The sequence below is a fragment of the Homo sapiens genome, chromosome 7 (assembly GCF_000001405.40).
Source record: "Homo sapiens chromosome 7, GRCh38.p14 Primary Assembly".
In the NCBI taxonomy this organism is placed as follows: domain Eukaryota; kingdom Metazoa; phylum Chordata; class Mammalia; order Primates; family Hominidae; genus Homo; species Homo sapiens.
This window is the reverse complement of record NC_000007.14, coordinates 8,007,746-8,023,084: the sequence shown is the minus strand read 5'-3', so window position 1 is coordinate 8,023,084 and position 15,339 is coordinate 8,007,746. Positions and strand designations below refer to the sequence as shown.

Here is a 15,339-nt window from a genome sequence, read left to right as displayed (position 1 = left end):
AAGATTGCGCCACCGCATTCCAGCCTGGGCAACAGAGCGAGACTCCGTCTCAAATAAAAAAGCTATTAGAAACAGAAAACACTATCCTACCATTGTACAAAGCTATAACCTATAGCTCTGGTTGCTACAACTTAAAAACAAGCAAGCTGAAGAGAGAACAAAAGATAACTAAAATGAACAAGATAGAGAGTATTACATAAAATTAGACTTCACTCTGGAAAGGTTAAAGCTGACTGAGTGCATAACAAATATTTATAAAAGACGCAAAATACACAAATAGGGTAAATTTAGACTTGTTCACCAAAATGTAGAATGCAGCCTACCAAACTAGAATCTGTCCTAACCTTACAAAAACCTGCCTAGAATTTATTCTAACCTTACCCTAGAATTTGTCCTAACCTTACTGAAAGAGGTAAGGTTAGGATAAATTTTAAAAGTGTCATTACATTCAGGAAATACTAAGGTAATCTACTAGGACCAAAACAGGTTACAGACGGAAAACAGAAATAACTTACCTCTTTTAGTTGATCAGCACTCCCCCATGACGCAGAACGCTGATGTGACCTCTTTTCTGCACCCTCTTCTGCCCAACAGCTAGGTGTCTTTAAAAAATATATATATAAATAAAATAAGAAATTTTATCTCTACTTCCTAATCTCAAGCAACTGAAACATATTTAAAATTCTTAGCACTTACCAGTTAGAGAGCTATACTAAAATCCTTTAAACGCTAAGAGTTTTGTGACCCCGTGAAATGTTTAAAATATTCTGCCATATTCTGAATTATATATGCTCAAAGATGTCTCTGAGTCACCTTACTTAAAAATTTGATATCTTCACATCAATAACATAAATAACTTAATTATAAAATTCAAAGGGAATAGTAAAGATATGTGTATTGGTGTTTTTAAAGAGAATAGCCAAACTAAATATGAAATGGTATTTCCACTAAATTCAATAGAGGTAAAATGAACAAAAGTATCTCAAAAGCAATAGTATTAAGAATGACCTACATTTCAAATATTTAGCTAGAGGGCTGATTGTACTACTTTTTCTGTGCTTGGGGAAGAGTAAGTATTAGTATCTTTTTTGAAAAATATCAGGCATCTTTATATAAAACACATAAAGTTATTATAAAAGTGAAAAAGATTAAAAACAGTAAAATATAAGCTAAATAAACAGAATATAAACTAAAGTAATACATCTTCTAAAAAACCTGAACCATATGTCAGAAAACAGAATCATTTTTATCTAAAATATCATTTTCAGTTATTTAGCCATTAATAGATACTATCCTCAAATGTAACACAAATCACTAAATCCGAAATAATGCCATACAGTGGTTAAGACCATTTAATAGTTGTATTAAAAAATTAAACAATAGGCTGAGCATGGTGGCTCACACCTGTAATCCCAGCACTTTGGGAGGCCAAGGCGGGTGGATCACCTGAGGTCAGGAGTCCGAGACCAGCCTGACCAACATGGTGAAACCCCGCCTCTAAAAAATTAGCTGGGCCTGGTGGCGAGCACCTGTAATCTCAGCTACTCAGGAGGCTGAGACAGGAGAATCACTTGAACCCGGGAGGCAGAGGCTGCAGTGAGCCAAGATTGTGTCATTGCACTCCAGCCTGGGCGACGAGAGTGAAACTCTGTCTCAAAAAAAAAATAATAATTAAACAATATTAAAATATCATCTTTAATACATGAGAAGACTTGCGTAATGTAAATCAGAAAGGGTCAAAACCACTACTTAAAGGGCAATGATTGTCACAGTAACTATATACAGCTTTAAAAATTATTTTTCAATACATGCTGAAAAAGGTATCATTTATATTAAGGCCATACTTGTGACTACATAATATGTAAGTTCTTATGAAGAAGTCATCAGTTCTATTTTACAGTTCAAAATGCTTGTGGAAAACTTTTAAAATAATCACCACGTCTTAAAAGCAATGATATTCAAAAAAACCGTTAACAACTGAATGCTAGCTGAATAAACACAAAAATAAACTGCTTGAGCAGTTCACTAGTAAAAAGAAGTTTTTAAGTCAATTGACAGAGTAAAATACTTTATTCAATCAGCAAGACCACGGATAAGAGGTATCAATATATTAAATAAGTTGCTTATAAAAAACTATTACTTATTAGAATTTCCTATGTTCCGTCCTAGATAAGATGACGTACTCTGAAAATAATTCAACCCTCCAAATCATTGTATCCTTAATAATGAATTTATTCCAAAATTATTCAATTGTTTAGTCACTTTTATTTTGATAATTTATATAACTTAATGGTTTTACCTGTCTAGCAACTGAGCATTACTCTTATCAAAATGAAAAGATTAAGAATCATAATCTTTATAACTCAAAGTATATTCACAGAAAATGAGTCAAATTTTTAGCATTTTCCACAATTATTCAAAATCAACATTTATAATATGAATTACATTCATTTTGTACAGCCCTTTTTCAAAGGACATTTACATATACTGTATCTCCAACTTACAGATAAATTAATAGCCACAAAAATTCTGCAACTGCTTCAACACTGGCAAGCACGCCAACAGCAAAAGGAACTAAATCTGAGTTCTCTTATCTCACAGATTATCTTCTTTCTTCCTATTATCCTTTTCTTAAAAATGAATATGAAAACTTATTCAGTTATTTCAGAGTGTGTTATTTACACAAAAGAATTACCTACAAAAGAAATCAAGTTAGTAGTATATGTATAGTTATGTGCTGCATAACAATGTTTTGGTCAATGATGGATGGTATACCTAACAGTGGTCCCATAAAATTATAATGAAGCTGAAAAATTCCTATTACCTAGTGATGTCTTGATGATCCTGATCTTGTGTGGGCCTAGGCTAATGTGTATGTTTGTCTTAGCTTTAAAAAAAAGTCTAAAAAGGAAATAAATAAACAAATAAATAAATAAAAGCTTACAGAATAAGAATAGTTTGTTATGGTTGTAAAATATGTTTGTGTTTTAAGCTAAGTGTTATTATGAAAGGCTCAAAAAGCTAAACAAAATTAAGTTTATGAAGTAAAAATGTTATGGTAAGCTAAGGTTAACATTACTGAAGAAAGAAAAGTATTTGTTATAAACTTAGTGTAACCTAAATGTGCAGTGCTTAGAAAGTCTACAGTAGTTTACGGTAATACCCTAAGCCTTCACATTCACTCACCGCTCACTGACCCAATTGGAGCAGGTTCCAGTCCTGCAAACTCCATTCCATGGTACATGCCCTATACAGGTGTATCATTTTCTACCTTTATGTATTATATTTTTACTGTGCCTTTTCTATGTTTATATATACAAATATCACTACGTTACAGTTGCCTACAGTCTGCATTACGGTAACATGCTGTACAGTTTTGTAGCCTAAGAGCAACGGGCTATGCCACATAGCCTCAGTGTGTAGTAGGCTACACCATCTAGGTTTGTGTAAGTACACTCTATGATGTTCGCACAGCGATGAATGCCTAACGATGCATTTCTCAAAACATATCCCCCTCATGAAGTGACAGTGACTGTAGTTTAAAAAAAAGAAAAACGACTGAAAGAGTTCTCTCAATCATGTAACTATAGAATGCATATAATTTAAGGTCATCATAGTATTAACTTTCCAAAAATATCCCCCAAAGAGTAGTTTTAATTCCATCAATTTAAAATAAACAGTATAAAAAAATTCTCATCTACAAATATATTCTATAGATTGAATTGTCCAATACAACAGCTACTAGCCACATGTGCCTATTTAGATTTAAATTAATGAGGACCTAATAAAACTAAACTTCCTTAGTCACACTTAGCACATTTTAAAAGCTCAATAACCACATGTGGCTACCGGCTGTCATATAGGACAACACAAATATAGAACATTTCCAATACTAAAGAAAGTTCAATTGGAGGGCAGTGTTCTATACACTGATCACTGATTTTTAATGAGTTATTTTAGCCAAAACAAAACCAAAAGATGGCTACCAAAATCAAATCTATTTAAAGCTGATGATTAAGAAGTCACAGAAGTGACTAATTTGAATCCAATTTATTAAACCTGTGTATTTGAGAAATGTTTTACCATTTCAATCAGGAAAATAACACAAAGTAGCAAAAGTTCTTTCCTTTCATATCAGCAAGCAGCCCCTTCCAACTGGTCTGTTATTCTGTCCATTAATCTAGACTAGAATTTTTTAAATAGTGCTACATATAACCATGCCTTTGGTGTTAAAAGGAGTAGACAAAAAGGGTTCCACAGTTAAATAAATTTAGGAAAAACTGTAATATCATACCATCATTTAAAAGAAATGAAACTTCTGTACACTTGAACAATGCAGAACTAAAACCTATCTGTAAGACTATTAACAAAAAAGGTAGTTGGAAAAAAAAAGCCTCTATGTAAAAAGGATACCTATAGGTAGAAGGGGTCCTTTTCTATTCTCACTCCCTGGAAGTCTCCAAAGTCCAGACTATGAAATTTCTTTCCAACCTCTAGGGCCATCCTCCCAGCTCCAACCTGTGTGAGAACCACTTTTTCTCTAAGTAAAATACAAAGGGAATAATCCCACTGCACAGGACTAAAGAGGCTTCAAAATGAATACCATTAGAAAAATTATTTTTGGCTAGATCAACCAAAAAGCTTAAATACTGGGTGCTTTTGTTATGTATATCTTTATTCACTAACTAGAAAGGGCCAATATGCTTTTTAGTTTTATCAACTTCAAACCAGCTCAAACTAACTCCTAGCAAAAAACATGCTTTGTCAATGTGCAAAAGTCTAAAGCCACTTAAAAAAAATCCATCAACAAAAACATAACAAAATTCTTTAATCTTATTTAAATATTAAAAAATCTATTTTATGTGGTTCATCACTGGTCTTAAAATTTATTGTAGTTTATAAATCAATTATAGAAATATGAGTACTGACTGCTAATTATTTTATAGTACTTATAGCAATGATAAACCTAGCAAGAAATGAGATGTAATTAGCTGAAAAATCAATGATACCTATATTAAGAATTAATTATGACCACAGACTAATCTTAAATTATAAAAAAGTTTAGAATAGGTAATGACAAACCATTATTTACAAATATTTGTTTTTGTTTACAAAAATTTGTTTTTGACTAATAAAACAATTTTTAACTTCTTTTAAAACTTCTTTAAATATTATTTTGAAAAGTCTATCCTGATGAAGTATTACAAAGCAGCACAAAAGATTGTGGTTCTAGTGTAATTATCCTTTGCCTTTCTGGGAAGAGTGGTAACCAGATATAGTAAATAGCTGCTCTGATTAGCAAAGAGTGTAGAAAAAGGCAGAATTCAGCTCAAACAAAACACTGTGGAAGTTAAGACTGCATTTTTATTTTATGTAAAGTCGGAAGGTTTTTTTTTAAGCTTTAGGAATTCAGCAATAGCAGCACTTACATATTCAAATTTTTTATCAAGCTCCAACTCTATGCTAAGTTTTGTGCTCATTATGTTAGACCAGTTTCAAAGTGCAGTCCCCAAATGAGCAGCAGCATCATCACATGTTAGAAAAGCAAATTCTCAGGCTCAACCTCAGACTACTAGATCTGGAACTCTTAGATAAGGCCCAGAAATATACTTCTTATTTTTTAAGCAACCTTTTCAGATTATTCTGATGGATTCTAAAGTTTGAAAACCAGTGTTAGACTAAAAAATTGAAATCAATAAGATACGGAATCTGCACTCAAGGTGTCATGTTGACCATATACCCACTCATTTTTCTTGCTAGCTTTGAACATGTTATTGTTTTAAAATCTCTTACATCTGACAGAAAATCAGCAACACAGGTGATTACTACATATGGCCAAAAATATTTTTCACACCATTCTAAAAAACACCCACTGAAGTCATAAAAATAGTGCTAAGATGATGGCATGAATATCACCAATAGGATAACTAAGTAATGGAGGAGGGAGTAGCTTTCCTAAGAATGTAAATACGCTCTCCTGCACATGAACCTATAGATTTGAAGTACCATTTCTTATTTGTAAGACAGCAAACACACAATAACTACCTCTGACTGAATGAATCCTGACCTACCAGAAATTGTTTATTGAATTTCACAGCCCTCACATGCTCTGGGGTCACTTGTGTCATTTCTATGCCATTTCCTACCAGTCCAGACCTAATGTTCATAATTGTATAATCAATAGTTGATACTAGTAATAAAGACTTTTCCTGTCCACTTAATTCCATATTATTATATTTAAACCCGGTAACAGTAAAATACTATTGATTCTAATCAAAGGCAACTAATAAGTATCAGTGTCTGTTATGTCATAGATACTGTGCTAGAAGCTTAACATGGATTGTTTCATATAATCCTCATTGCAATAGGCTATGTTGACAATAATAGTTGTCCCCCAAAAGCTGTTAGAATTCCAATAGCATGGAAAAGTTTTCCCTTAGTTTATACTGGTTCCTAACAATATGGTATCTCCCATATCAATCATTCATTTATTCATTCATTTATACAAAACAGTATACCTTAAGAGGCATACTGCTTTCTCATACCATACCGTAAACTATGACCTAATTTTAAACTATAACTCTATGATCTTAATTGGTTTTTTTTGTTTGTTTTTGAGATGGAGTCTCGCTCTGTCGTCCAGGCTGGAGTGCAGTGGTGCGATCTCGGCTCGCTGCAAGCTCCACCTCCCGGGTTCACGCCATTCTCCTGCCTCAGCCTCCCGAGTAGTTGGGACTACAGGCGCCCACCACCACACCCGGCTAATTTTTTGTATTTTTAGTAGAGACGGGGTTTCACCATGTTAGCCAGGATGATCTTGATCTCCTGACCTCATGATCTGCCCACCTCGGTCTCCCAAAGTGCTGGGATTACAGGCGTAAGCCACCGCGCCCGGGCGATCTTAACTGTTAAGGCATAATGTCTCTAACGTAAAAATGTCTTTCTCAGTAAATTCTGTTTAATATTATCACAGGAATTTTTCATAGAAAATTGATACAAGATATAACAGGTTGAGAACCAATGTATAAGTCAATGTACAAAACCAACACAGGTCAGGGGACCAGAGTAAGAGTGTTATTCCAAATAAATACAACCTATTTCACAATTTTACCTAGAGTGTGCTTAGGGGCAAAGGCATGAGAAAGCAATGAAGAAAAACAGGTTAATTTTGTTTCCAGCTAAATGTTTCTCGTAAAGGGAAGAAAACTGAGTATCAGGGTAACGGGGGTATGGGAAAGGCCTTTCGCTGTATACTTTCTACTTTTGAAACAAATGAACACATAACGTATTAAAATTAATAAGTAGAATTTTGACTTTGGTAATTTTAGAGATGGTATTTGAAACTAATGAATAAAATGTTAAATATTTTAGTTATGGGTTAAAATCTTTCATTAATATAACTGAGTATATTCCTTTAGCAACCAAAGAAATTACTCCCTAAACCAGGAACATGACTAATTTGGTGTGAACTATTCAACTCTAGGATTCTACAATCCTCTGTCTCATAATTAGATGATGGCTGAGAGAAAAAGTAAAGGTGATCTCAACAGCCAGTCAGGGGCCAGCTCCATAAAAAATAATTTAGACCCCTAGAATGCAATCTAAGAGGCAAAAACAGTCAAATCTTCAGTCTTGCTTCCATTTCATGAAGAAGTCCCCCAGCCCCTAAAATGTTTCAGCAACTGCTGTTTCTTAAATATATTTCAAAAGCAAGCCCTTTGACAAGGGCACAGGAAACTCAGACAGCTGTATAAAGTGTGACTTTTGGTCAGGAAATGAATTTCTGATCAGAGTGATAAAACTGAAAGTTATTTTTTATATCAGTAAGTATTTGAGGTGCATCATCTGTTCCTTTGACTAAAGTCCTCCCTAACCAAGCTCCTTTCAGGAATGGAGGAAAAGGCTAGGTACTTTAAATATGACGTCAACAGAAAAGAATATATATGTTTTAGTTCAGAGTTAGTTAACTTTATTGAATGTTGCCTAAAGCCAAATGCTAACTACTTAGTCTGGATCTGTTTCTTAAAAACAAATAAAAACAAATAGATTTCTAGGGAAAGATGCTGACATAGAGGCAGGATCATAAAACTCCATAGACTGAAGTCTAATGAGATTAAGAGAAACTGCTTTATGTGCTTTTGGCATGTCTCATGTTTCACAGTTTAACTTTTAAAAATTAATTTAAAACAATAAAATACCAAATATAATAATACCATCACCTGGAGAAAGGGAAGTATCAGTATATGTAATTTTATTTAAGATCTAACCATCCCATCTCTCACCTCTCAGAGAATACAAGTTTTGAAATCTCTCCCTGATATCAACCAAGAGACCAAGTGCCATGGAAGAAATTAAGAAAATTTTCTAAAGTGCTACAATCCAAAAACATACTAGGCTAGTAAGTAAGTTACTTAGGTAAAATCCTTTCAGACCCAAGTGACAGAATTCAGATGATATTTATACTGTGTTATGCTAGAGCACAGAGGAAGGAAATCTTGCAAAACCTGTTTATGAAGCAAGTGTAAAAATACTCTAAGGCTCATGAAAAAAAATTAAGAACTCATTGCTGAATAATAAACAAATATAGAATTAACAAACATATTCACTGATGAAATGGCATTTTCCACATAAATTATTATTCCTGATTAAAACAAGAAAAACCATTAGTAAAATAAGCATGTGTACTCTACGTATAACAAACACACATGCTTCACAGCAAATGTCAGTATACCTTGTCCAGTGAGTAAACTAGATACATTACCATTAGAGTCAAGAAAGAGGCCAAGGCAGCCGGGTACAGTGGCTCACATCTGTCATCTCAGCACTTTGGGAGGCCGAGATGGGTGGATCACCTGAGGTCCACCTGAGGAATTTGAGACCAGCCTGACCAACATGGTGAAACCCCGTCTCTACTAAAAAATTAAAAAATTAGCTGGGCATGGTGGCGGGCGCCTGTAATTCCAGCTACTCGGGAGGCTAAGGCAGGAGAATCACTTGAACCTAGAAGGTGGAGGCTGCAGTGAGCCAAGACAGTGCCATTGCACTCCAGCCTGGGCGACAGAGCAAGACTCCGTCTCAAAAAAAAAAAAAAAAGTCAAGGCCTTCAGTACCATAACTGTTAGTTTACATGGTTCTCGGAGTGGCAACAAATGCAATTCCAAAAGAGGACACATACCAAGAAATAAATAACGAAAAGGATGTAGAATTACTATTTGGATGATCGTACAGCCGAAAAACCAAAGAAAATTACCTAAAAATTACTAGAAACAAGAAAAGTCAAGTTGAAGATGTCCTGTATGTAAATTAGATATTAAATATCCTAATTACAACAGCAACCAAAAAAGACAAAATATTTAGATATAAGTTTAACAAGAAATGTGTTGTTCCAATAAGAAGTTGTAAAATATTCTGAAGGGCAAACATAATACTTGAATGAATAAAAAGATATACCCCTTTCTTGGATAAGATTCAATATGGTAACAATTCCCCTGAATTCATATTTAATTGTAATATAAAACATTTTGAGGAATTGTACAAATTATAAAATTAACTGAGAAAAATAAATACGCAAGACTAGCCATACAAATTATTAAAATGAATTACTAAGCAATACAAATTAAAATCATTCAGTATTAAAAAAGATATTAATGGTATATAGTATAGCATAGAGAAGCCAGAAAGAGATCCAAATAAGAATGGAAATTTATGATATAACAATATCTCAAATCAGCAGGGAAAAGATAAACTCTTTATCAACTGTTAGTCACTTTGAAAAATAAATAAAGCTGGATATCACCTCATGCCTTCCATCAAAATAAACTCCAGAAATATCAAAGACACAAATATGTAAAAAGAAACATAAAACTATTAAAAGAAAATATAGTTTAAATGAAATTTTTTAACTTGGAGTGGAAAAAATCTTTCCCAATTATGGCATAATGCAAAAAGCCACAAGGCACAGACCACTGTGATAAATACAGCAGCCAGAAATAAACCCTAGCATATACGGTAAATTGATTTTTGATAAGGGTGTCGAGGCCATTCAATGGGAAAAGGACAGCCTTTTCAACAACTGGTGCTGGGAGAACTGGATATTCACATCCAAAAGAACGAAGTTGGACTCTTACCTTATACAAAAATGGACTCAAATGGATCAAAGACATAAACTTAAAGGCTAAAATTCTTAGAAGAAAATAAGAAGAAAGCTTCCTGACACTGGATTTGGCAAGGATTTCTTGAATATGCCAACAAAAGTACAGTCAACAAATGGAAAAATAGATAAACTGGACTTTATCAAAATTAAAAACTAGTACACTATCAAAAGAATAAAAAGGCAACCTGGCCAGGCGTGGTGGCTCACGCCTGTAATCCCAGTACTTTGGGAGGCTGAGGCGGGTGGATCACAAGGTCAGGAGATCAAGACCATCCTGGCTAACACGGTGAAACCCCGTCTCTACTAAAAAATACAAAAAATTAGCCGGGCATGGTGGCAGGCGCCTGTAGTCCCAGCTACTCGGGAGGCTGAGGCAGGAGAATGGCATGAACCCAGGAGGTGGAGCTTGCAGTGAGCCGAGATCACACCACTGCACTCCAGCCTGGGTGACAGAGCAAGACTCCATCTCAAAAAAAAAAAAAAAAAAAAAAAAAAAAAAGAATAAAAAGGCAACCCACAGAATGGGAGAAAATATTTGCAAACCATGTATCTGATAAGAGATTTATATCCAGTATATATAAAGAACTCCTAAAACTCAACAACAAAAAACCCAATTCAAAAATAGACAAAGGACTTGAATAGACATTTCTCCAAAAAAGAAATACAGATGGCCAAAAAGCAGATGAAGTGATGCTCAGCATCATTAATCATTTAGGAAATACAAATCGAAAATCAAAGTAAGATACCAGGTTGACTATTATGTTTTAAAAAAGGAAAAAAGAAAATATTGGCAAAGATGTAGAAAAACTGGACCCCTGGCTGGGCACGGTGACTCATGCCTGTAATCCTAGCACTTTGGAAGGCCGAGGCAAGCGGATCACAAGGTCGAGAGATTGAGACCATCCTGGCTAACACAGTGAAACCCCGTCTCTACTAAAAATACAAAAAATTAGCTGGGCGTGGTGGCGTGTGCCTGCAGTGCCAGCTGCTGGGGAGGCTGAGGCAGGAGAATGGCGTGAACCCGGGAGGCAGAGCTTGCAGTGAGCCAAGATAGTGCCACTGCATTCCTGCCTGGGCGACACAGCGAGACTCCATCTCAAAAAACAAACAAAAAAACAAAAAACAACAACAACAACAACAAGAAAAAACAACTGGACCCCTGTGCGTTGCTAATGTGAGTATAAAATACTACAGCCATAGTGGAAGACAGTACATCAGTTCATCAAAAATTTAAACACAGAATTACCCTATGATCTAGCAGTTCTACTTCTGGAAATATATACAAAAGAACTGAAAGCCGAGACTCGAAAAGATACCCACACACTAATGTTGCTAGCAGCATTATTTGCAACTGTCAAAAAGCAGAAACAACCTAAATGTCCACCCATAGACGAATGGATAAAGAAAATGTGGTATGTATATCTAATGGAATATTATTCTGCTTTAAAAAGGAAGGAAATTTTGACACACAGCTACAATGTCAAATCCTGAAATCATTATACTAAGTAAAATAAACCAGACAAAAAAGGAAAATACTGTATGATTTTCTTATATGAGGTTCCTAGAGTATATTCACAGAGACAGAAAATAGAATGATGGCTACCAGAGGCTGGCGTGTGGTGGGGAGGATGGAGAGCTAGTATTTAATAAACACAGAGTTTCAGCTGGAAAAAGTAAAAAAGTATTAGACATGGATGGAGATAATGGTTGTACAATAATGTGAATGCACTTAATGCTATGGAACTGTACATTTAAAAAATGGTTAATTCATTTTCACTCATGGTAAATTTCATTATTTTTTTTTGTGTGGGAGGAGACAGAGTCTCACTCTGTTGCCCAGGCTGGAATGTAGTCACATGATCTCGGCTCACTGCAACCTCCACCTCCCGGGTTCAAGCGATTCTCTTGCCTCAGCCTCCTGAGTAGCTGAGATTACAAGCACAGGCTACCATGCCTCCCTAGCATGTTATATATATTTTACCACAACTTAAAAAATAGAAAAAAAAAATGAGGTAGGGATTTATATGTTATAAGGAGAGATGCCCATGATCCATCAAATGGAAAAAGCAAGTCAGTAATATGATATAAAGTATGATTCCATCTCTGTGTGTATATGTCTAAACAATATATTTCTATAGGTACAGAAAATTTCTCAAAATATGTGTCCCCCAAAAACCTGTTAATAATACTTTTTTTAAGTAGTAGGCCTAGGGAGTTAGTGGCTACTATTCATGTCCTTCTATATTATGGATTATTTTGCCATCAAATATATGATGGATTATTTTACCATCAAAAAGCATTATTTTTAAAACAAAATCAGATAAAACCCAAAAATACATAACCTGAAATATTTACTTCTTTTAATTTAGCTGAATTAAAAACATTCTGGGATAATTATAGAATGTCTATAAATATATCACTAAGCATCCCTGCAAGAACTGAGAAGCACAGAGATTTTATAAGATATTATGACAGGATGCTGACCTTGGCAGGGAGCAGATTCCTAAAGTGGAAATTCGATGTTTAGGCAAGTGACTTTTTTCTTTTACAAGTTATATATAAAAAGCATTAAATCCATCATTTTATTAGAATATAAATCTAATCAAAAGCATTTTAAATCCTCATTTAAAAAGAAGAAAGAAGCAAGAAGGCAGTGGTGGTTTCTCTTGTTAAGACTGAATACATTCACTTGCAGAAAGCTTGTTAATGAAAATTAGCTCTGTAGATTAACACCATCATGTCTTCTAGTTTAATAGACATTTCAAAAGAGGTGACATTTTGAGACTGAGGTAGCCTGTTCCAGGGGCTGTTTTGGATGGACTACTCATACAAAGAAAATCGCATCTAACTGTATCAGAAAAAGTTTAAGGCCTATAAAACTCAAATAAAGGTATAACAGGAAAATAAACCATTAAAGATACAATTTTTAAATGTTTAAATAAGATTAAGAAAACAAGTTAATTAAGCAAATGGCAAAACTCTAAGAAAAAAAAAAACCACTTCCAGTGCTCAGGTTTTTTTTTTTCATTCTATTTTGATACTGATTTTACGTCCACACTGAATCTTTTGAAAAGCTTTTAATTAATAAAAATAACATACTATGCTCTGAAAGGCCTACAAAAATTTGTTTAAAAGGGTTATACTTTGCATATTAGTAAAGACTAGATTATAGGATAGTAACTACACAATCTCCAAATCCAAATGACTTAAAACTGCAAAAGTTAATTTCTTGCTCATACTACATGTATGGGTCATTAAGAAGGCTATGCTTGTCACTGTCAGTGACCCAGATGGACAGAGTAGGAATGAACAGTTACTTCCCTGTCAGAGAGAATGCACCAGTTCTTTAAAGCATCTTCCCAAATCAAGTCTCATGGCCACACTTAACTTCAAGTGGGCAGAGAAGTAGAATCCTATCATGTGCCCAGGAGAGAGAATGCCAATATTTATGAATAGCTCTAATCATTACTATACCTGGGAAGTTGTAGGAAATACCTCTGATTATTGCTGTATATATTATTTTTATTACTTGACCACTTTACAAAGAATATATATTACTTTCGCATTTAAAAACACATTCAAACACAGAATTTAAAATTTGTCCAGAGACTACACCTCAGACTATGGGGTGAAGACTGAGGAAACATTACTGTTTTATTATAGTAACCTTAATTGCAAGTTCAATTTTAAGAGTTGGTAATACATTTTTTGTTTTAAAAAGGTTGTATCTGCAAGGCTACAGTAATAAAATATTAAATTTCACAAATGGATTTTAGTTTTTCTTTCTACAAGGCTAAACAGATGACTCTAAATAACCAGCAGTGATCCATTTCTTCAGAGGCCTTAAAAATGTAAAGCTGTATCTTATAATCCTCAGAATAAACGTGTGAATGTGCAAATCGGGTATTACTAACTTCAATTTACAGAAAAGAAAGCTTAAGACTGGGTCACAAAGCAGTTAAGTCAGTGGGTCATGAATTTTTTTTTAACATTTTACTAATAAAAATTTCAAACAGAACAGTTAAAAAAAAAACTGTTCAGTGAAGGCCCATAAAGCCAATACTGAGCTTCTCTAAATAACATTTTGCTCTATTTACTCCACCAGCTATCTATCTAGGTATCCACCCATCAATTCATCTTATTTTTTATTCATTTCAAAGTTGCAGACAGCAGTATACTTCATCTCTAAACATCTGAGTTCAGTATTTGTTTTCTGTTCATATTCTGTATTTTTAAAGTTAAAGTTATACAGCAAAATGCACAAGTGTACACTTGGGTAAGTTCCGATAAATGAATTCGCCAACATAACCCAAACTTCTATTAAGACATATAACACTGGCCAGGCATGGTGGCTCATGCCTGTAATCCCAACACTCTGGGAGGTCAAGTCTAGTGGATCACTTGAGGCAAGGAGTTCAAGACCAGCCTCTCTACTGGTGAAACTCCACCTCTACTAAAAATACAAAAATTAGCTGGACGTGATGGCAGGGGCCTGTAGTCCCAGCTAATTCCCAGCTACTTGGGAGGCTGAGGCATGAGAATTGCTTGAATCTGAGGGGCAGAGGTTGAAGTGAGCCAAGATCACATCACCGCACTCCAGCCTGGGCAACAGAACAAGACCCTGTCTCAAAAAAAAAAAAAAAAGATATACAACATTTAACTTACAGAAATAGAGAGTAGAATAGTGGTTATCAGAGGCTAGGAGTCCTTGGGAGATGCTGGTCAAAGGACACAAAATTTCAGTTACAAGAAACAACTTCAAGTGATCTACTATACATCATAATGACTACAGTAAAATATATGGTATACTTGAAAATTGCTAAGAGAGTAGATTTTAAGTGTTCTCACCACACATAAAAAAATGAGGTAACGCATATGTTAAATAGATTGATGTAATCATTTCAAATGTGTGTGTGTCTACCATGCTGTACACCATTAATATATAAATAATTTTTACTTAATTAAAATTAACTACTTTTTTAATTAACATTTTCATTATCCCAGAAAGTTCCCTCAGTGGGCCTTGATTTGAATACATGATCTGGTTCCAAAGTCTACAATCTTTTCACAACATTATGCTACTTCTTTTTAATATGTAAACATACTAAACAATATTAATTTTTTTATGTCAAGCTCTCAATAATTAAGGTAGTTGAAACAGAAATATAAAAGGAAGAACACCCTCA

General features: G+C 34.3%; 1 protein-coding gene across 1 annotated transcript in view; it reads right to left on the bottom strand.

Annotated features, from left to right (window-relative positions):
- Nucleotides 1-15,339, bottom strand: part of GLCCI1 (glucocorticoid induced 1) — a 120,285-nt gene that overhangs the window by 65,996 nt on the left and 38,950 nt on the right. The window contains exon 3 of the mRNA NM_138426.4: nucleotides 516-602. Coding sequence (NP_612435.1) covers nucleotides 516-602 — 87 coding nt within the window. The remainder of the gene's footprint in view (nucleotides 1-515; nucleotides 603-15,339) is intronic.